The sequence below is a fragment of the Homo sapiens genome, chromosome 6, assembly GCF_000001405.40.
Source record: "Homo sapiens chromosome 6, GRCh38.p14 Primary Assembly".
In the NCBI taxonomy this organism is placed as follows: Eukaryota; Metazoa; Chordata; class Mammalia; order Primates; family Hominidae; genus Homo; species Homo sapiens.
This window is the reverse complement of record NC_000006.12, coordinates 106,594,701-106,617,593: the sequence shown is the minus strand read 5'-3', so window position 1 is coordinate 106,617,593 and position 22,893 is coordinate 106,594,701. Positions and strand designations below refer to the sequence as shown.

General features: G+C 39.4%; 1 protein-coding gene and 1 pseudogene across 4 annotated transcripts in view, besides 3 other annotated features; one reads left to right on the top strand and one right to left on the bottom strand.

Moving 5' to 3' along the window:
* The window catches only part of RTN4IP1 (reticulon 4 interacting protein 1), a 59,721-nt gene that overhangs the window by 12,898 nt on the left and 23,930 nt on the right, over positions 1-22,893 (top strand). For all 4 annotated transcript variants that reach the window (NM_001318746.1, NM_032730.5, XM_011536192.3 and 1 more), the window contains one exon: positions 14,672-14,720. In NM_001318746.1, coding sequence (NP_001305675.1) covers positions 14,672-14,720 — 49 coding nt within the window. The remainder of the gene's footprint in view (positions 1-14,671; positions 14,721-22,893) is intronic.
* Positions 2,654-3,160: an enhancer, noted in NCBI's record as "OCT4-NANOG hESC enhancer chr6:107062309-107062815 (GRCh37/hg19 assembly coordinates)". NCBI's record gives its function as "activates a minimal SCP1, AML or CMV promoter by ChIP-STARR-seq in naive H9 embryonic stem cells {active_cell/tissue: H9 hESC(naive)}" and the evidence as "EXISTENCE:reporter gene assay evidence [ECO:0000049][PMID:30033119]".
* Positions 3,668-4,175: an enhancer, noted in NCBI's record as "OCT4-NANOG hESC enhancer chr6:107061294-107061801 (GRCh37/hg19 assembly coordinates)". NCBI's record gives its function as "activates a minimal SCP1, AML or CMV promoter by ChIP-STARR-seq in naive H9 embryonic stem cells {active_cell/tissue: H9 hESC(naive)}" and the evidence as "EXISTENCE:reporter gene assay evidence [ECO:0000049][PMID:30033119]".
* Positions 3,706-4,000: a silencer, noted in NCBI's record as "tiled region #441; HepG2 Repressive non-DNase unmatched - State 16:ElonW, and K562 Repressive non-DNase unmatched - State 23:Low". NCBI's record gives its function as "represses a minimal TATA promoter and a strong SV40 promoter by Sharpr-MPRA in HepG2 and K562 cells {active_cell/tissue: HepG2 | K562}" and the evidence as "EXISTENCE:reporter gene assay evidence [ECO:0000049][PMID:27701403]".
* RNU6-527P (RNA, U6 small nuclear 527, pseudogene) lies at positions 9,775-9,878 on the bottom strand (annotated as a pseudogene).

Below are 22,893 nucleotides of genomic sequence, written 5' to 3'. Positions count from 1 at the left end.
ACAATGGCCTGGAACTGGGAAGTTGGAGCCCTGGGTCCTGTTCTGCCATTAACTAACCAGGTGACCACATGCTATATATTTATGGTCTCTTTGTGGTTTCCTCTGAGTTTATGAGTATAGGACAGTGTAGGTTTTGAGGAGAGCTTTGAGAAATGGAAAGTTTTAGACCTTATTAGGTGATGATATCTTGTATTGAGTTGGGTCTGTTTATTGATTTAGCCAATGTTAACCAATCTAGAGTGAAACCCATTGCAAAGAGTCTCAACAATTCACATCATGGACTTCTGCTGCATTCACATGTTGTGATCTGTAGGACACATTTGTCCTGAGTGACTCAGTGAGCACAGTGAGACCTTGCTGTCTTAGTCTGTTCAGGCTATTATCACAAAATACCATAAACTGGTAGCTTAAAAACAAGAGAAATTTATTTCTCACAGTTGTGGAGGCTGGGAAGCCTGAGATCAAGGTGACATCAGGTTTTGTGTCTGGTGAGGACCAACTTTCTGGTTCTTTAACAGTGCTTTCTCGCTTGTCCTCATATTCTGGAAGGGGTGAGGATATCTCTGGGGTCTCTCTCTCTTATAAGAGCACAAATCCCATTCATGAGGGTTCCGCTTGCATGACCTAATCACCCCACCTCCTAATACCATCACCCTGGGGGTTAGGATTTCAACATACGAATTTTGGTGGGACACAAACATTACAAACATTCAGACCATAGCACTTGGTACTTGCTGCTCTCAGAAATTTCGGTTTACTGAAATTACCACACATGGGTTATAATAATGGCCTACCTCTTTTAACTGCTTATTTGTGAGAGTCACATGAGAGATGTGAGCACCTTAAAATACTGTAAAAATACTTTTAATGAAGAAATTCTATAATGAGATTTTATTGTACCTAAACTCAGAAGTTCCAGTGTCCAAAGTGGATTTTCCATTTGACTATTCATTGTGATTGATGGAGCATATTTTGGCTTCAATATGCTAAGCAATAACTGTTCTTTTTCTGTTAGCTATTAGCTATTGGCATTAAGGCATGCCTTAGTCTGCACAAAGCACATCAGTATTTGTTATCAAAGATGAATCATCTTTTTTTTCTAATCAGTTAATTAAAAAAAAACAAAATTAACAATGACAAAAACACCTATCAGCACCTTGGAAGATTTTATAGGATTTCTTTATAACAAACAGCTTATTTGAAATTAGGACAAATCTTTCTAAGGGTTCAATGATGTTTACCTTTTTCCCCCTTTGTTCTGTAGTTACTTTTCTGCAGCAGCTGAGTATCAGTGAACCAAGGAAATAGTTTATTCTTGATGTCATATAATACTGTCATTTTGTCCACACATTGATATCATTAGAAAATGTCAAGTGAGGCCAGGCGCGGCGGCTCATGCCTGTAATCCCAGCACTTTGGGAGGCCGAGGTGGGTGGATCAAGAGGTCAGGAGATCGAGACTATCCTGGCCAACATGGTGAAACCCCGTCGCTACTAAAAATACAAAAATTAGCTGGACGTGTTGGCACACACATGTAGTTCAAGCTACTCGGGAGCCTGAGGCAGGAGGATCATTTGAACCACAGAGTTGGAGGTTGTAGTGAGCTGAGATTGCGCAACGGTACTCCAGCCTGGTGACAGAGCAAGACTCCATCTCAAAACAAAAAAAAAGAAAAAGAAAATGTCAAGTGAAAATTATTTTCTTTTTATCAGCCCATCTATAGTTTCTTCATGATTTGTTCAGTAGGAACACATAGATAACTTAGGGCTCTCAAGATAAGTAGAAATTTTTTTAAAAAGTTGTTACAACCGGATATTTTTTGAATATGTTAAGATTTGATGGTTTTATTTATTGGTAGTGTCATTGGTGCACTTGAATATTTCATGCTCTGCCTGAAATTCATGTCTTGCCGGGAAAGTTGTACTTCATTCTGTTTGACAGAAGTATTAAAAGGTGTTAGGTGTAGTGTTGCGTGCCTGTAGTCCCAGCTACTCGGGAGGCTGAGGCAGGAGGATTGCTTGAACACGGGAGGCGGAGGTTACAGTGAGCTGAGATCATGCCACTGCACTCCATCCTGGGCAACAGAGTTAGGAATTGAACTATTCCTCCTCCACAAAATAAATTTCACTTTTAAATTGTGTATACTTGCAACTCAATGAAGTGAATTTAGGAATACTTTTTTTTTGATATTAGGTTTTATGGCAGTAAAATTTTGTCATGTAAGTGTAAATTAGGTGTCTGATTAATTCTGATATAGAATTATAGAATTAGGCCCAGAGTTAAAAACATTGGGTTTATTCCCTACCGATATGCTTATATTAAAATTAAAATGACAGCCTTCTTCTTTCAAATGCATTCTAAGGCCTTTTCTTCACCCCACCACCACCTGTTTCTTCCCACTCCCCAAGCCCATTACCCTTTTGGACTTTAAGTTTTCATTTGCACCTGACTGGGTTGTATTGTTAGGGGGGTAAGGGGAAGTAGAAAGAAACCCCAGCTGTTTTCTTGCATAAACAAAGTATGGGGTTGAGGAGGCAAGGAGAGTGAGAGTGGAGGCTCTGGCTTGGTCAGTGTGATGGAAATGAATCTTCCTTTGCTTCAGGTCTATTTTCCAGGGAGTCCTGGGTGGGGGGGTGGGGGCTGTGGGCACTTGAAAGAATAGCAGAAACCTCACTCCTGGAAATTTGTGTTTTATACAATAGCTTTCTAAGTGACTAGGTTAACTATCTCGTGAGGTTACAAGTCATTTACTCTTCAATGGACTGTAATCTAGCTTCTAGCCTTGCCTTTCAATTGCATCTGCCCTCACTGGGGTCGTAGCTAACTTAAGTGACTTAAGTTGCCAAGCCCAAAGACATTTTTCAGTTCTTATTTTAATTTGATCTCTCTGAAGTAGCTGGCATTGTTGAACACTTCCTAAATACTTACTTTTCGTATGGTTTCAGGGACATTAAGACTTTTAAGTTTTCTTTTTTTGTTGTTGACCATTTCTTGTCATTTTTAGAAGCCCCCACTTCTTCCTCCAGCCCTTTAAATGTGCTGTTTTCCCAGTATTCCACTCTATTCTTCCTTTTTGTTTCCCAGGGTTATCTCATCTACTCCCAGCTTCTACTTATAGTTTGGTAACTTACAGATCTGTATTTCTAACTCTGTCCTCTTACTGAGTTCCAGTCAGATGTTCTCTTTATATCTCAAACTCAACTTGAGCAAAACAACACTTACCAACTACCACCCCAACTCTTCCTCTGTAATCCTAATGTCAGTTAATTGTGGTTTACCCTAAGTCAAAACCTGACATTGTTCATAAACCCTGCTCTTTCACCTTCCTCAGCACTACTCATTATTGTTCGTGTCATGTAAAATATAAGATTGTTGCCAAATTTGGAACAATGTCTTCCAAGTTCCTTTTATATGCCAGCTATAAGATTTGTGAACCCAAAATATCTGAGACAGGTCTCAGTCAATTTAGAAAGTTTATTTTGGCAAGGTTAAGGACACGCCTGTGACACAGCCTCCGGATGACATGCACCCAAGGTGGTCAGGGTGCAACTTGCTTTTATATATTTTTGGAAGACAATACATCCATCAATACACATAAGATTTACATTGGTCTGATCTTGAAGGGTGAGACCTCTTGAAGAGGGGTGGGCTTCCAAGTGATAGGTAGATTTAAAAATTTTCCGATTGGCAGTTGGTTGAAAGATTTATTATAAGTGAAATGGAATGTCTGGGTTAAGATAAGGGGTTGTAGAGACCTAGGTTTTGTCATGCAGATGAAGCCTCCAAGTAGCCAGCTTTAGAGAGAATAGACTGTAAATGTTTCCTATCAGATTCAAGTTCTGTGTTGATGTTAATGCTGCAGGGGTATAATGAGGCCTGCAACCTCCTCTCTCATCATGAGCAGAACTAGATTTTCAGGGAACTCTGGAATGTCCTTGGCCAAGAAGAGGAGTCCATTCAGATGGCTGGGGCCTTAGAATTTTATTTTTGGTTTACAGATTTCAAGGCATTTCACGTTTTCTTGTGTAGTGAATAAGCCTAAAATACTGTTGTATTTTAATGAACAATCCTGATTAGTTTGTTGTTAACCTCTTCCATATAGTGTTGTCTTGTAAATTCTTACATTTTTTTAATTGGAGGAATTTTCCACAGACTAGCTTCTGGCTTTGTACATTTCAAACCTTGTTTAACTTTCTTTCTCCTTCACTACTCACATGACCCTGTGCTGGGTGCAGTGATACACAGCTTTAAGAAAATGTCATGTGGCTTAGGTGAGTTGACTTAATGAGAGGTAGGAAGAAATTCCTGGAAGGCATTTCTTAAACTAGGACAGCTAGGGATAACTTAACTTTACACAGAAGTGACTACGAACCACATCAGTATTTTCCACTAAACCCCAAACAAGTATATTTCCAATCAACTTCCCTTTAGCTAGATCTAGTATCACCTGAGAAAAAAGCAAGACTGATGAGTAAGAGTGAAAAAAGACCAATCTTAACTGATTGTGGTTAGCATATCTTTTACAAATTTTACAAAAACATGTCTGTTACATATAAAGTTTCGGCGCCACAAAAGAAATAGCACTTGAATATAAAATTTTCTTTTTAATTCTCAGCAAGGCCAGTTACTTCTATATAGAAGGGTGCGCCCTTACAGATGGAACAATGGCGAGCGCATGTTTGGACAAGGGAGGGGAAGGGGTTCTTATCCCTGATGCACGTGGCCCCTGCTACTCTGTCATTCCCCTATTGGCTAGGGTTAGCCCACACAGACTAAACTAATTCTGATTGGCTAATTTAAAGAGAATGATGGGGTGAGTGCTTTGGCGGGAGTCAGGGCAGAGCAGGTAGCAGGTAATCGGAATGAGTTATGGTGGAGCAGGTGATGGAATGAGTTAGGGTAGAGCAGGTGATTGGAATGAGTCAGGGTGGAGCAGGTAATTGTAAAAGGTTGCTTTATGAGGAAGTTTAAAAGTAGAAGGCAAAGAATTGAACATACTGACATATTAATTATTTGAAAAGAAATTTAGAACTCGTATCTAACATGTCTATGCAAAATATTGCTAGGGTTCCTCTCTGGGCCTTGTGTAAGTGAAGGGCTTCGGCTTCATTGGCTCCATGGTAAATCCTCTGACCTCACTACTTCTCTCTGTCTTATGCCCTATTGTCACCCATCACAAGCTTTTTTTTTTTTTTTTTTTTTTTTTTTTGACGGAGTCTTGCTCTGTCGCCCAGGTTGGTGTGCAGTGGTGTAATCTCGGTTCACTGCAACCTCCACCTCCCAGGTTCAAACGATTCTCCTGCATCAGCCTCCCGAGTAGCTGGGATTATAGGTGCCCGCCACCATGCCTGGCTAATTTTTATATTTTTAGTAGAGATGGGGTTTCACCATGTTGGCCAGGCTGGTCTCGAACACCTGACCTCAGGTGATCCACCTGCCTTGGCCTCCCAAAGTCCTGGGATTACAGGCGTGAGCCACCATGCCCTGCCCATCACAAGCATTTTTCCCTCTATCTGCTTCTGTATAAGATTGAAGGAACCAGTGATTTGGGATGGTTCCCACTGCCTATCCCATTTGGGGGGATACATTCCCAGTACCCCTGGTTGAAATTCTGAATACACTTCGGATAACAAAGCCATTGTTATCCTGTGTATAAAGTTCTTCGTCGATTATGGGTTAACTAAGTCTTCATAAATGGCTTACCCTGGCCACCTTACCAAGATATATAAATAGCTTTGTTTTCTTGGGAAAATGTGTTTAACTTTCTAAACATTTAATTCACACACAAACTCTTCTGTAAATTGGGGGATGTCAACATGCATTACAGAGGCTTAGAAGAAGAGGACACATAAATCTAGGCTATCTTGGTCTCCTTTGATTGATTTGTTTTGTAGCTATATTTTTCCACTTATTCAGATTAAGTTTCTCACTCACTTTAAGACAATAAACCTGGCGTATTATGCTAAGACACTTTGCTATCTTTTATCTGTTTTCCCCGTGATTTAAAAGTCATGTGTGTTTCAGAACCTCCACAAGGCTGAGAAAAAAAGTAGTTTGTGGAGGTGAAAGATGAGATACATTTTCAGCATAATCCTTATTTCTTAAAACCATTTGTTTCTACTGATGGTCGATTTCACCATATTTAAATCATCTTTGTTCATAAGTCATTAGGATTTAATAGATGACACTCTAATCTTATAATGTGGCTTTTTTCACTATAAATCTGGGGCAATTTTGAAGGCCATATATGTCTGTTTCAAAGGTGGAGAAACAAAATATAAGCTTAAATTAGATGGAAAGCACCTGTTCTTTTTCATTGACTCCCAGAGTACACTTCTGTCATCATCATTTTGTAGGTGACAGATCTGAGGGCCAGGGATTCCATTAGAGAGAGAGTTGAAACCTGAACCCGTGACTCTAGATACCCAGCCCTGGCATTCAGAGATTTTTGGGATCAAGTCAGAATATAGAAACTTGAAGATGATTTTCTACTTCTGGATGTCTTGCTGTTTTGTAGCATGTTTCGTGTTTTTGTTTTTTTTTTTGTAAGGCAGCTAAGGGGGTTGGCGCCCTACCTCATAAGATTACAATACTGAAAACTGTGATTGTAGAGGGCTTAGGTGCCCAAATGCCAAATAAAAAGTGACTCAGTCATGGAAAAGAAGCCAACATTGCTTCAGTGCCTTAATGTATGTTTAGGGAGAATTCAGAGATTAGGCAAAAAGGACAGAGCAAGTTAGATTTTAGGGTTTAAGAATGCCTAAGTAATGTAATACTGATTCATATTTTCTCCATATTTAAAAAATATCTGTCACTAGTACAATCCCTTCTGACTTCCAAAGAAGCTCTATATGTGTACTTAAGAAGTAATAGAGGCATGCAATTAAAAACCTTGGCGATTTTGAATAACAGTGCTTTTTTCAAGTAGAGTATTTCTGTACACACTTTATATAAACCAACAAATACAGCACACGTTTCTTCACTATCACAAATAGGCTTCTACTTCAGTGAGATTCGAATATATAGTGTGGCCATTACAGCAAGCTAGGTAAAAAGTATTCCCACTGTGTAGGACTTAAGTGAAGGGCCATTGGGAGGTCAGCAACAGCAGTTGCTTCCCTTTGCATTGAACGTGCTGTGAAGAATACAACAAGAATAATTAGTTGAGCCACAAGACTTCAGACTTTAGAAGACCGACCGGCTTATTGTTGGCTTGAAAATTTATTTTGCCGCCGGGTGCGGTGGCTCACACCTGTAATCCCAGCACTTTGGGAGGCTGAGGTGGGCGGATTGCCTGAGGTCAGGAGTTCGAGACCAGCCTGGCCAACATGGTGAAACCCCATCTCTACTAAATATACAAAAAAATTAGCCAGGTGTGGTGGTGGGCGCCTGTAGTCCCAGCTACTCAGGAGGCTGAGTCAGGAGAATCCCTTGAACACGGGAGGCGGAGGTTGCAGTGAGCTGAGATAGCACCATTGCACTCCAGCCTGGGCGACGGAGTGAGACTCCGTCTCAAAAAAAAAAAATTTATTTTGCCTACTCTCTTTTTGGGGACTTTGAAGAAAGATATGGTTGAAACCTGCACAAAATGTGGAGTTTACAGGACCAGAAAACGATGTGTCCTCAGGGCTCCTTTACAAGCTAACAGCGCTTCATTCATTGGACCTGCTCCTTGCTGCTTTTGCACTTGGGGTCGCCATCAGGTGGCAACACAAAGAATTGAAGCTGCTATTGCAGAACCACTCTTGCTAAGCCCTGCTGTGAAACACAGTTTTGCTTTTTTATTTGAGGGAATGAAGTTGCTTTGGATCAAGAGTTATAGGGAAGAGATGAACTGACAATAATGAGGTCGGAGATGTATTTGGCAGTTGGATCCTGAAGTAGCCATTATATTTAGTATCCAGCATTCACAGAGAGAGAATTAGAAATTATTTTCAAGCTTTTCTTTACTGGAAGAAACTTGAATGCAGTCTTTCAAGTAGCCAGGCGATCCCCTCACTTGAGGTAGTAGCAGTTGTTGCCTTGATTGTAGGACATAATGGTGATTGGATGATTTCTTTTTTTAGAGACAAGGTCTCACTCTGTCACCCAGGCTAGAGTACAGTGGCACAATCATTGCTCACTGCAGCCTCAAACTCCTGGGCTCAAGCCATCCTTCCACCTCAGCACCACCATACCTAGATAATTTATTTTTTATTTTTCGTAGAGATGTGATCTCATGATGTTGCCCAGGCTGATCTTCAACTCCTGGGCTCAAGCAATCCTCCCGCCTCAGCCTCCCAAAGTGCCGGATTACAGGCGTAAGCCACCATGTCTGGCCATGGATGATTTTGAAAGTCAAGAAACTTTGATCAGGCATCTGCTACATCCAGGGCACTGTGGCCAATGCAGGGCATAATATGAAGTCTCTGACCTTAAGAGCTTGCAGAATAAGTTGGGAAGTAGGATGTGTGGCATAGATAACAGGTTCCAGGCTATGTTAAGGGTATTGTAGAGGAAAACTGGGACTTGGTCCTTCAAGGGAAAGGAGACCTCAGCAGGTAATTATAGCATTCTAGAGCCTGGAGGAATGGACCAGTGTGTGTGCAATGTAGGGGGAAGAATTAGGGGAACAGAGTCTCAGAGGAAGAGTTCCATTCAGGAAATAGTGAGAGGAAAAGTTGGAGAGTGCAGGTAATATATTGTGAGGAACTTAAATGAGAATTTGACTAGCAACACTTCTATAAGAATGGACAAAAGTAAGAGGGTGAAATATTTCATGGGGGAATTAATTTTTGAATGTATTTTTGAAGCACTTTTCATACTTTTTTCCCTCATTTAGGAAGACTAAAGCTATGTTTGAATTGTCAGGGCAAAAGGTACTTTACCTCTGCCCTCTGAAGGTTCTATAACTGAGTCTGCTGAAATCAACTGATAATAGATTAATAGGAGAAAAGTTATACACATTATTTATTTCCTTTTAATGTTAGTTGATATGTAATGTACACATTTATGGGGCATAGTGTGATATTTCAATACATGGATACCATGTGTAATGATCAAATCAGAACAATCAGCATATCCTTCAAGTCAAACATTGATTATTTCTTTGTGTTGGGAACATTAAAAATCCTCTCTTTTAGTTTTTTGAAAGTATACAATAAATTATTATTAACTATATTCACCTTGTAGTGCTATAGAGTACTAGAACTTATTCTTCCTATCTAGCTGTAATTTTGTATTTGTTAACCAACCTCACCCTGTTCTTCCCTCCCTGCTACCCTTCCTGGCGACTGATAAACCACAGTTCTACTCACTGCTTCTGTGACTTCAACCTTGTCTAGCTCCCCCTTGAGTGAAAACGTGGTATTTATCTTCTTGTGCCTGACTTATTTCACTTAACATAATGTCCTCCAGGCTCATCCCTGTTGCCACAAATGACAGAATATCATTCTTTCTTTTTTATGGCTGAATAGTATTACCTTGTGTATACATACCACATTTTCTTTACCTGTTTATCTGTTAATGGACATTTAAGTTGATTCCATATCTTGGCTATTGCAAATAGTGTTGTATTAAACATGGGAGTGCAGATATCTCTTTGATATGACTGATTCTCCTTCCTCTGGATAAATACTCAGTAGTAGGATTGCTGGATCTTACGATAGTTTTACTTTTAGGGAAAACTTCATACCGTTTTCCATATTGGCTATACTAACTTATATTCCCACCAAAGGTGTATAAGAGTCCCCTTTTCTCTGCATCTTTTCCAATATTTATTTTTTTTTGTCTTTTTTCTATATGGAACACTTCACAAATTTGCATGTCATTCTTGCTCAGGGACCATGCTAATCTTTGTGTCATTCCAATTTTAGTATATGTGCTGCCTAAGTAAGCCCTGTTTTTTGTCTTTTTGGTAATAACCATTCTAACTAGGGTGAGAGATCTCATTGTGGTTTGAATTTGCATTTCCCTGATTATTAGTGATGTACAGCATATTTTGCCTATGCTTGATCATTTTTCTCTTTTTGAGAAATGTCTGTTCAGATCCTTTGCACGTTTTTAATTGGATTACTAGTTTTTTTGTTGTTGTTGAGTTTTTTGAGTTCCTTATATATTCTGGGTAGTAGTCCCTTGTTGGTTGTAGAGTTTGAATATACTTTCTCCCATTCTACAGGTTGTCTCTTCATTGGTTGTTTCATTTGCTGTACAGAGTTTTTTAGTTTGATATAGTCCTATTTATTAATGTTTTTGCTGCCTGTGCTTTTGAAGTCTTACCTATATCATTTTTGCCCGTATTCCCATATGCTTTCTTCTAATAGTTTTTTTTTGGGTCTTATGTTTAAGTCTTTAATTCATTTTGAGTTGGTTTTTATATATGGTGAGAGATGGGCATCTAGTTTCCATTTTTCTGCATATGGATATCCAATTTTCCCAGCACCATTTATTGAAGAAATTATCCTCTCACCAACATCAATTCTTGTTGCCTTTGTCATAAATCAGTTGGCTATAAATAGGTTGATTTATTTCTGGGTTCTTTATTCTGTTCCATTGGTCTATGTATCTGTTTTTATACCAGTACCATGTTGTTTTGGTTACTGTAGCTTTGTGGTATAGTTTGAAGTCAGGTAGGGTGATGCCTCCTGCTGTTTTATTTTTGTGCATATTGTTTTGGTTATTCAAGGTCTTTTGTGGTTCCATGCAAATTTTAGGATTTAAAAAATTTCTGTGAAGAATGTCATTGATATTTTGATAAGGCTTGAATTAAGTCTGTAGATTGCTTTGGGTGGTTTGTTCATTTTAACAACATTTATTTTTCCAATCCATGAGCATAGGATGTCCATTTTTTTGTGTTCTTTTCTATTTATTTATTTAATTTATATGTATGTTTTTGAGATAGGCTGGTCTTGAACTCCTGAGCTCAAGCGATCCTCCCCCACTTGGCATCCCAAAGTGCTGGGATTAGAGGTGTGAGCCACCGTGCCTAGCCCTCTTTGATTTCTTTTATCAGTGTTTCTAGTTTTCATTATATAAATCTTTCACCTCCTTGGTTAAATTTATTCCTAAGTGGTTTTTTTGTAGCTATTGTAAATGAAATTGATTTCTTTTTCAGCTAGTTCATTGTTGGTATATAGAAATGCCACTGATTTTTAAATTTTTATTTATATTTGTTTATTTAAAAAAATTTCTTTTTGGAGACAGAGTGTTGCTCTGTAACCCAGGCTGGAGGGCAGTGGCACGATCTTAGCTCACTGCAACCTCCGCCTTCCTGGGCTCAAGTGATCCTTCCACCTCAGCCTCCCAAATAGCTAGGACTACAAGCGTGTGCCACTGTGCCCAGCTAATTTTTGTATTTAGTAGAGATAGGTTTTGCTGTGTTGGCCAGGCTGGTCTTGAACTCCTGGACTCAAGCGATCTGCCTGCCTCAGCCTCCTGAAGTGTTGGGATTACAGGCGTGAGCCACTGCTCCTGGCTGCTACGGATTTTTGTATGTTGATTTTGTGCTACTTTAATGAGTTTGTTTATCAATTCTAAGAGGTTTTTGGTGGTCTTTTGTTTTTTCTATATGTAAGATCATGTCATCTGCAAAGAGGGACAATTTGACATCCTCTTTTCCAATTTGGATGCCTTTTATTTCTTTCTCTTGCTTAATTGCTCTGGCTAGTACTTCCAGTACTTTTTCCTGTAGATGTATCTATTGTGTTGTTTGAGTAGAGTGCTTTGGCTTTGTTCCTGGGTGAGCGCAGTAGTGTAGTCTCTGTATGATTTCTTTTTTTTTTTTTTTTTTTTTTTTTTTTGGGACAGAGTCTTGCTCTGTCGCCCAGGCTGGAGTGCAGTGGCGCGATCTCAGCTCACTGCAACCTCTGCCTCCCGGGTTCATGCTATTCTCCTGCCTCAGCCTCCCGAGTAGCTGGGACTACAGGCACCTGCCACCATGCCTGGCTAATTTTTTTGTATTTTTTTTAGTAGAGACAGGATTTCACCATGTTAGCCAGGATGGTCTCGATCTCCTGACCTCGTGATCTGCCCACCTCGGCCTCCCAAAGTGCTGGGATTACAGGCATGAGCCACTGCACCCAGCATCTTTGTATGATTTCTTTGGCTGTAATCACTATCAATCGTGTCAGTAATTCCTCAGTGGCTTACGCTGTAGTTTGTGGAGGCTGTTAGGCACTTTTTTTTTTTTTTTGAGACAGGGTCTCGCTCTGTTGCCAGGCTGGAGTGCAGTGGTGCCATCTCAGCTCACTGCAACCTCCACCTCTTGGGTTCAAACGATTCTCATGCCTCAGCCTCCTGGGACTACAGGAGTGTGCCACCGTGCCCAGCTAATTTTTGTATTTTTAATAGAGACGGGGTTTCACTATGTTGGCCAGGATGTTCTCGATCTCTTGCCCTCATGATCTGCCTGCCTCGGCTTCCCAATGTGCTGGGATTACAGGCATGAGCTACCGCGCTTGGCCTGTTGGGCACTTTTGTTGGACATAGGGGTGCCAGGCAGTCTGGTTCTCAGGTCACTAGGTGACACATACAGCTACATGGCATTCCTGCTGCTGGTGTGGATGGCAGGCTTTGGGTGGACTAGTCCTCAGCACTGTGGTCATTGTGCATGAGGGCCAGCAGTGGTAGTTGTGGGCCCCAGGTGAACTGGTCCTCTAGTCTCTGCACTGCATGCATGGCAGTGTGGCAGCTCTACTACTGGAGGGGTGGGGTCACTGTCAGTGTTGGTGGCAGCAGACCTGGGCAGGTAATAAGGTGCAGGTGCATGGAAGTCACACAAGGTACAAACCTCAAAGAAGGGCCAAATGGGTGATGCCTACATACCCTCTTCATAGGGTGGAGGGAAGGGGAGTATGTAGGCAATTTTAGAGGAAGAGCAAATTATTTTGAGGGGAGATGAATGGGCCCAAAGAACAGACAGTAGCCTAGGACAAAATTCATCTGGGCTGTGTGTGTGGCACCTACTCTAGTCTTCTTTCATGTGAGTTAATCTTCTGTGTTTGGTGAGATTATAGGGAGGGGGCCCAAGAAAATAGCATTCCTTCTGAGGGAACTTCAGAGAAATCGTCCCTTTGCACTTCAGGAGAGACAAAGGGAAGGGATGAGAGACCGTGGCCGGGATGGTGAGAGAAGGTCAGAGAGACCTTCGTTCTGAGGCTGCTTCTTTACTTCAAAGTACTCAGCATGTCAAAGTGACATACTCTGGGGTATTGTTTTCTGAACCCTAACAGGATCTTTAAAATTTCTTCTAGTCTTTATAATTTTGGAAATTATAAATCCTTCTAGAAGGAACACAATTTGGAAGGAGACTTGGCTTAATTACATTTAATGGTTTTAATTTCAAAGGGAACAACTGGCTCAAAAATTTTAGTAGTAACTGTTAAGCTATAAATAAGGGTGACAAACAGCCTTCTATGATTTGGGCAAGATAGAAAAAAATGAAATGAAACTAGGGTGAAGGTTATAGATAGAATGCGTGTTCCAAGATTTGGTGTACTTACTAGAGATAGGTGGCAAAATTCCCTGCACTTTCCAGCAGCCAAGGCAGTAGGGACCCACACTAGCAGTTACTCAATTTACGGTGATGTTAAATAGGACAGATACTGCCACCACTTAGTGTTCAGAAAAGTGTTTTTTTTGTAGGCCGTCATAAAGAGAATTCTCATGAATTCTGTCAACAATATCCCCTTAGCTAATACAGTATCAGATATCAAACAATCACTTTTTATAATGTCCCTCAGCCTCAATCAGTAGCATGACACCAAAGTACAGTACAAACAATTTTCTGGGACTTGAAACCATCCAGTCCAAGTAGGCAGTTCTCTGAAGCTCTACCTTAATTTAAGAATAAAATGTAAGAGCATGGAAAGCAGTTTTTTGACTGGTGATTCTCTTTTGGATTGCACACTTCTTTGGGAAATAGATGATAGGTCTAGATTCCTTTCCTTGTCAATAAGCATATGCATCATCGCACAAATTTTACATGTTATTTTAGGAAATTCACAATTTCAGAGAGTTCATAATCCCTTACCCTACCCCTCACCCCTTCACCCTTGTCCCGCCCCACCCTCCTGCCCTGACTGATCCAGGCTCAGCACCCTGGTCTTCAAGGCTATTGTGAGTTAACATGGTAAGAACATGCAGTATGAGGATGGTTGTGCTGGTTTGACAGATTCCTCTGCTTTAACAGGAAGCCACATCGAGGATGGGAATTGATTTTCATTTATGAAAGTTGATGAACTTGACATCTCTGAACAAAAGATGTTTATTTCGCTTTGGTGAGAATGTAGTCAGGAATGTGATTTTTCTTAGAGAACAGCTAAGCATAACAAATTAAAAAGGGCCCCAAATCTCCCTCTCATAGAGGAAGCTCTAACAATTTTAGCCTAGAAAAATTATAAGGCAGATATTACAAAGGACCATCTGAGCTATCTTAAACCAACAAATTATTGGTATTTTCGGTATTTGATATTCTTGGTACAGAGCTCATAGAATGTCTTTATTTTAAGCAACTGCAGTTTCTTGGTGAACCTAAAATAAAAATCCTTGTGTAATATATCTTGGGAAGCTGAATAACTTTATTTTCTTTTAGAATTATTTATCATCTTATCATCAACCAGTTATTTGTTGAAAACGTTTATCCAGTTATATCTGCTTTAGATTCTCGTTAATTGTGGTTTCCTTTGCATTTCAGTGTTCTAATCTTAGGCGCTTCAGGCGGAGTTGGTACTTTTGCTATACAGGTAAAACCATTTTTTAATCTTGTGAATAGGAGGATTTTGTTTGCATGAATTTATAAATTAAGATACATTATTTCTCCTTAAAAGCTGAGAGAAAGGTAGGTCTGGTAAATGTACTGTAATTTCAGCTTGTTCTGTAAGAGGAAAATATTCTTTTTTTATTAGAAAAAATTATTTTTTAGAGATGGAGTCTTGCTGTGTCACCCAGGCTGGAGTGCAGTGGCACAATCATAGCTCACTGTAAGGAAAATATTCTAATGTAGAAGGAAGCATTAAGCTTTCTAGTAGTTTAATATGAGTGGGTGTGTGGATGTCCTTGATAACAGACGTAGGAAAGCTTTTAAGAAGGAAGACCATGGGCAGTGCAGGTAGATGGAAGTTAGCAATTTAATAGGAAACAGCCAATGTCAAAAACCAATACTAGTTTCCAAGCAGAATTTTTGCAGGCTAAAAAGCCTGCAAAATGTAGAAATTGGTAAGCTGATTCTAAAATTTATATAGAAATACAGTAGCCAAAATACCGTTAAGATGGCAATACTCCCCTGAAGTGATTTATAGATTCAGTACAATCCCTATCAAAATGCAACTGCTTTTTTTTTGCTTTTCATAAATGGACAAGTTGACCCCAAAATGCATGTGGAATCACAGGGGACCCCAAATAGCCAAACAATCTTAAAAAAGAATAAAGTTGGAGGACTCACACTTGCTGATTTCAAACTTACTACAGAGCTACAGTAATCAAAACATAAGGGTGAACTTATAGATCAATGGAATAGAATTGAGCATCCAGAAATAAACCCATACCTCTGTGGTCAATTGATCCTGACAAGAATGGCAAGACCATTAAATGGAGAAAATAATAGTTCCTTCAACAAATACTGCTGGAACAACTAGATATCCACATGCAAAAGAATGAAGTTGAGCCCCTACCTCACATCATATTAAAAAAAGAAAAACAACCCTCAAGGTCAGGCATGGTGGTTCACACCTATTATCCCTACACTTTGGGAGGCAAAGGTGGGTGGATCACTTGAGGTCGGGAGTTCAAGAACAGCCTGGCCAACATGGTGAAACCCTGTCTCTACTAAAAATACAAAAATTAGTTGGACATGGTGGCATGTGTCTGTAATTCCAGTTACTCAGGAGGCTGAGGCAGGAGAATTGCTTGAACCTGGAAGGCGGAGGTTTCAGTAAGCCTAGATCACGCCACTGCACTCCAGCCTGGGTGATGAGTGCAACTCTGTCTCAAAAAACAAAAACAAAAACAAAAAACTCAAAATGGATCAAAGATCTAAACATAAGAGCTAAAACTGTAAAACTCTTAGAAGAGTAGGCAGGGAAAGGGAAAAAAAGAGTCTTGGAAGGAAACATAAGACAAAATCTTCATGATTGTAGATTTGGCAACAGATTTTTAGATATGACACCCAAAGCACAAGCAACCAAAGAAAAAAATTCATCAAAATTAAAAAAACTTTTGTATGTCAAAGGGCACTATCAAGAAAATGAAAAGACAACCCACAGAATGGAAGAAAATATTTCCATATCATTTTCTGGTAAGAGTCTAGTATCCAGAATATATAAAGAACTCTTATAACTCAACAACAAAAAGACAGCACAGTATTTAATTAGCAAAGAACTTGAATTGACATTTCTCCGAAGAATATATACAAGTGGCCAGTAAGTCCATGTAAGGATGGTCAATATCTTTATTTATTAGAGAAATGCAAATCCAAACCACAGTGAGATACTGTGTCTTACAATAAAAAGCAAACACAGAAAATAAAAAATGTTAGCAAAGATGTAAATAAATTAGAACACTCATACATTGCTGGTGGGAAGTTAAAATGGTGCAGACATTGTGGGAGAGTTTCTTGGGTCCTCAAAATGTTAAACATAGAATTACCATATGACCCAGCAATTCCATTCTTAGGTATATACCCAAGAGAAATGAAAACATATATTTAAGCCTAATCTTATTCATGAATATTCATAGCAGTATTATTCATAATAGTGAAAAAAAGTGGAAATAACTATCAGTTGATGAATGGATAAACAAAATGTGGTATAGACATATAATGGAATATTATATATCTATATTATATATCAGCCATAAAAAGGAATAAAATATTGATGATGATACAGCATGGATGAATCTTCAAAACATGCTAAGTGAGAAAAATCCAGAAACAAAAGGTCCTACATATTGTATGATTCCATTTATATCGTATGTTTAGAATAGGCAAATCCACAGAGACAGAAAGCAGATTAGTGGTTGTCAGGGGCTGGGGGTAGATGGAGAAGGGAGTGGGGAATGACTACGTAATGAGTGTGAGGCTTATTCTTGGGGCACTTAAAATATTCTGGAATTAGTGGTGATGGTTGCACAACATTGTGAGTGTACTAGAGACTACTGTATACTTTAAATACTTTAAAATTGTGAAAATGGTGATATATATGAATTTTACCTCAAATAAAACAAAACAAACCAAAAGTTCCCCAAGCCTCCAGAAACATGATGGGGCCCAGTGACTGCTCCTGTTGTGGTCAGATGTGTAACTGACTGGCTCCTAGAAGAGGGAGCTTGATTAAGACTCTCTCAGGATGAGGGGAGAGATTCTTTTCCCCAGTAGGGGCCAGCGAGTAGCCTCAGAGGCTCTGCCACATTACTTTCCAGGAGGGAGGTTTGGGTGTTATAGACCACCCCAGACCCAGCTTAGACTTTTTGAGAACCCAGATGGTGCTGGAGGCTTCCTGTCTGTCTGCTGACTGAACTAGGTGAAGGAGGCGAGGATTCCTGGGATGCACACTTTAACTTCTTTTAACTCATCATTTGATAATCAGAATCCAATCCAGAGGCTCAGTAAATATGAGTTGAATACATAAATAAATAGAAGAAAGGAAAAGAGGGAGAGAGGCAAAAAGAAAAGAGAAATATCATACACAGTTGGTTAGAGTATAAATTGATACAGCCACTTAAGAAAACCATTTGGCATCTACTAAATGTCAATATAAATTGTAAAATTTCTAAAAAAAAAAAAAAGGACAGCACAAGAATTCCTATTTTAGGATTATAACCTATAGATAGATATACAAGTATGTTTACCAAAAGATATGTACCAGAATTTCAGAGCAGGGCTATTCCTGTTAAAATTCCCCAACTAGAAAAACCCAAATGTCCATCAACAGTAAAATGAGTAAGTAAATTGTGGTATATTCTTACATTGGAATATTATGCAGTCATGAAAAAACTATAATTGCACACAGTGAAGTGGATGAATACCACAACCGAGTGTTGAGTAAAAGAAATCAGATGCAAAAGTACATCCTATATCGTTCCATTTAATGACATTCAAGAACAAGTGAAACTAAGCAGTGGTGTTTAAGGGTGGTGTCTACTTAGTAAAACTTCTTAAAAAAAAAAAAAAGCAAAAAGGGTTACACTAAAGGTCCAGTTAGTAGTTACTTTTTAAGGGAGTTGAGGAGGTTTTAATTGGGAGGCTTAGGGACACAGGTGGTATTCTAATTCTTAATTTTGAATAGTGGTTATAATAATATTTGCTTTGTAATAATTTGTTAAGCTGTATATTTATATTCTGTATGCTTTTATTTGTATTATATTTTACAACAAAAAATTTTAATAAAATTAAAAAGTAATAGAAAAGCATCAAGGTTAAATCCCATACAAAGCTATTATAAGGAAAGGGAAAATAAGGTATAGAATAACATGCCCTATAATAAAAGCACATCAGAATACATGCCTACAGAACAGCCTGAAATGTCACCTACTATTTCAAAGCAAGTTAAAAGACATTAAAAATATAATACAAGATGTGAAAAAAACAAAATAAATCAGAATAGGAAAAAATCAGGAAAAAAGTAAAACTAAATGAAAAAATCATTTAGTAATAGAAGACTAAACTAAGAGGAACTCAATAGCAAGTAAACACAACACATAATGCTCCTTAATAGAAACAAAATGCATGGATCCCTTCCTTACACCTTATACAAAAATCAATTCAAGATGGATTAAAGATTTAAACGTTAGACCTAAAACCATAAAAACCCTAGAAGAAAACCTAGGCATTACCATTCAGGACATAGGCATGGGCAAGGACTTCATGTCCAAAACACCAAAAGCAATGGCAACAAAAGACAAAATTGACAAATGGGATCTAATTAAACTAAAGAGCTTCTGCACAGCAAAAGAAACTACCATCAGAGTGAACAGGCAGCCTACAACGTGGGAGAAAATTTTCGCAACCTACTCATCTGACAAAGGGCTAATATCCAGAATCTACAATGAACTCAAACAAATTTACAAGGAAAAAACAAACAACCCCATCAAAAAGTGGGCGAAGGACATGAACAGACACTTCTCAAAAGAAGACATTTATGCAGCCAAAAAACACATGAAAAAATGCTCATCATCACTGGCCATCAGAGAAATGCAAATCAAAACCACTATGAGATATCATCTCACACCAGTTAGAATGGCAATCATTAAAAAGTCAGGAAACAACAGGTGCTGGAGAAGATGTGGAGAAATAGGAACACTTTTACACTGTTGGTGGGACTGTAAACTAGTTCAACCATCGTGGAAGTCAGTGTGGCGATTCCTCAGGGATCTAGAGCTAGAAATACCATTTGACCCAGCCATCCCATTACTGGGTATATACCCAAATGACTATAAATCATGCTACTATAAAGACACATGCACACGTATGTTTATTGCGGCATTATTCACAATAGCAAAGACTTGGAACCAACCCAAATGTCCAACAATGATAGACTGGATTAAGAAAATTTGGCACATATACACCATGGAATACTATGCAGCCATAAAAAATGATGAGTTCATGCCCTTTGTAGGGACATGGATGAAATTGGAAATCATCATTCTCAGTAAACTATCGCAAGAACAGAAAACCAAACACCGCATATTCTCACTCATAGGTGGGAATTGAACAATGAGATCACATGGACACAGGAAGGGGAATATCACACTCTGGGGACTGTGGTGGGGTGCGGGGAGCGGGGAGGGATAGCGTTGGGAGATATACCTAATGCTAGATGACGAGTTAGTGGGTGCAGCGCACCAGAATGGCACATGTATACATATGTAACTAACCTGCACAATGTGCACATGTACCCTAAAACTTAAAGTATAATTAAAAAAAAAAAAAAAGAAACAAAATGCAGAAAAAAATTCAAATTACAAAAGAAACAAAAAGATAGGCTGGGCACAGTGGCTCACCCTGTAATCCCAGCACTTTGCTAGGCTGAGGAGGGCAGATTGCTTGAGCTCAGCGATTCAGGACCAGCCTGGGCAACATGGCAAAACCTCGTCTCTACAAAAAATACAAAAATTAGCTGGGCATGGTGGCTCATACCTGTAATCCCAGCTATGGAGAGGCTGAGGTGTGAGGATCACTTGAGCCCAGGAGGTCGAGGCTGCAGTGAGCTGTGATCACACCACTGCACTTCAGCCTGGACAGAGTGAGACCTATCTCAAAAAAACAGAAAAAGATAAAAACAGAGTCAAGAGAAAGTATCAAATATTGATGACAGGCAAGGAAAATTGATATATGGATACTAGGAGTCCTCGAAGGGGAAAACCAAAGCAAGGGAATTGAACCCATATTAAAACAATAATTAAAGAAACTTTCCTACTGTCCTGAAATTAAATGATTTGAAATTACATATTGAATAGACACATCACTTTTCTAAGGACATGGACCCAGACTGAGCAACACTAAGGAAAATTACTAATAAAAATGTGGAGAAAAATTATAGTGAAATTACTGGCCTTTAAAGAAAAAAGAAATAAGATCCTTTGGAAATCTAGACAAAATAGCACATGTGCTACTTATGTGTCCATATAAGAAAAAAGATGACGTGACTTATAAGAGAAATAAAATTAGACTATCATGAGACTTTTTGGCAGTAACACTTTTGGCAGAAAAAAATGGAGTAACATATTTAAGATACTCAAGGAAGAGTGCGCCAAGAATCTTTTATACAACAAAACAGGCCTTCAGGTATCATGGACACATACAGACTGTTATCAACATGAAGAACGTGGGGAATATTGTTCTTCTGATCCTTTTCTGAGGAATCTACTAGATAATGAGCTTCTGACTAGGAATGACTATGAAGACATTTTAAGGACTAGTGGTAAATGTTCAACACAATTACCTGTAGAACAAAACTAAATGAGGGCTTAGAAGGAGAGAGTGTAGGAACAGCCATATGTTCTGATAAGGTAAATACAGTGCAATAGTTGTCATTATTTTTGAGACAGTGTGTTGCTCTGTCATCCAGGCTGAGATGCAGTGACATGATCACAGCTCACTGCAACCTCAACCTCCTGGGCTCAATGATCCTCTCACCCCAAACTCCTGAGTAGGTAGAACTACAGGCACATGCCACCATGCCCAGCTAATTTTTTCACGTTTTTGTAGCGATGGGGTCTTGCTGTGTTGCCTGGGCTGGTCTCAAATTCCTGGCCTCAAGCAACCTTCCTGCCTCAGCCTCCCAAAGTGCTGGGATTTTGTAGTCTCAAATTAGAATTGGAAGTATCAATATGAACTCAAGAGATATTTTGTGTATGTGTGTATGTAAAGCCATCACTTGAAATATCATTTCTCACTGAAACAAGGCAGGGCTTCTTAGAGAAGTAGCTGATTTCAGATCTAGAGCACAAATATAAAGAATTAACCTGGAGTATATTAAATAGCAAGGAAGATATCAAAGACTAGTCAGGTCATGTCAAAAGACTCAAGAGCTAACTTGAAGAAATGCCCAAAGATGTAACAGTTTGAGCTTCAGTAATAATAATGACCATTACAATGGGTTGAAACCTTTTAAATATATTTAAATCCATGAGTTCATGATACTTTTTTCAAAAGAGGTCACTTTTGGAATTTGATAGGGAACCAATTTATTATCTTATAAACTGATAAAGAAAAACAGTTAAGCATTTGTCTTGCCTTTCCTACATTAACTGTATAATTGAGCAGACAAAATAATATGTGAGGGGCAGTGATATGAGGGGCAGTGTTATTTTGTGAAAGTATTCAGGCTGGACGCGTTGGCTCATGCCTGTAATCTCAGCACTTTGGGATGCCAAGGCGGGCAGATCACCTCAGGTCAAGGGTTCCAGACCAGCCTGGCCAACATGGCGAAACCCCTTCTCTAATAAAAATACAAGAATTAGCCGGGCGTGGTGGTGGGCACCTGTAATCTCAGCTACTCGGGAGGCTGAGGCAGGAGAATTGCTTGAACCTAGGAGGCAGAGGTTGCAGTGGGCAGAGATCACGCCACTGCACTCTAGCCTGGGACAGAGCGAGACTGTCCCCCACAAAAAAAAAAAAAAAGAAAGAAAGTATTCCAACTACTTAAATAAAAGAAGTAGAATTAGAAGATCACTATTTCGCAACCACCAATAAGCAGATATGGGTATTAAGCATTGACAGCTGCTAAGATAATAAAGAGAGCCTCAAGCAGACATGATGTGCCTCCTCTAGTTTTGCCAGACACTGTCCATAGTTTTGCTAAAGGGATTGAAATGGAATCAGATCTAGTCTCCAGATCCATCTGCCGAGTTGCAGAAAATACAGAGGACAGAGCGACGTGTGGAACTGTCCCGTGGGTGTGCAGTTAGAAATTCCAGACTGTGGGAAACTCCACAGATCAAATGGCCTAGATTCTTCCATAGATAAATTATAGGAAAGCAAAGGGATAGAACAGGAGCCTATGATTTAAAAGAGACTTAAGGCCGGGCACAGTGGCTCACACCTGTAATCCCAGCATTTTGGGAGGCCAAGGCGGGTGGATCACGTGAGCTCAGGAGTTCAAGACCAGCCTGGCCAACCTGGTGAAATCCCATATCTACTAAAAATACAAAAATTAGCCAGGCGTGGTGTGACGTGCCTGTAGTGCCAGCTACTCGGGAGGCTGAGGGCAGGAGAATCACCTGAACCTGGGAGGTGGAGGTTGCAGTGAGCCGAGATCATGCCACTGCACTCTAGCCTGGGCAACAGAGTGAGACTGTCTCAAATAAAAAACCAAAACAACCCAAAAATAAATAATAAAAAAAGAGATTTAAAAGATACCACGTTTTAAGAATGCACAAGACTATAGTGTCTAGAGACTGCATTGTTGGGTGATAAACTTT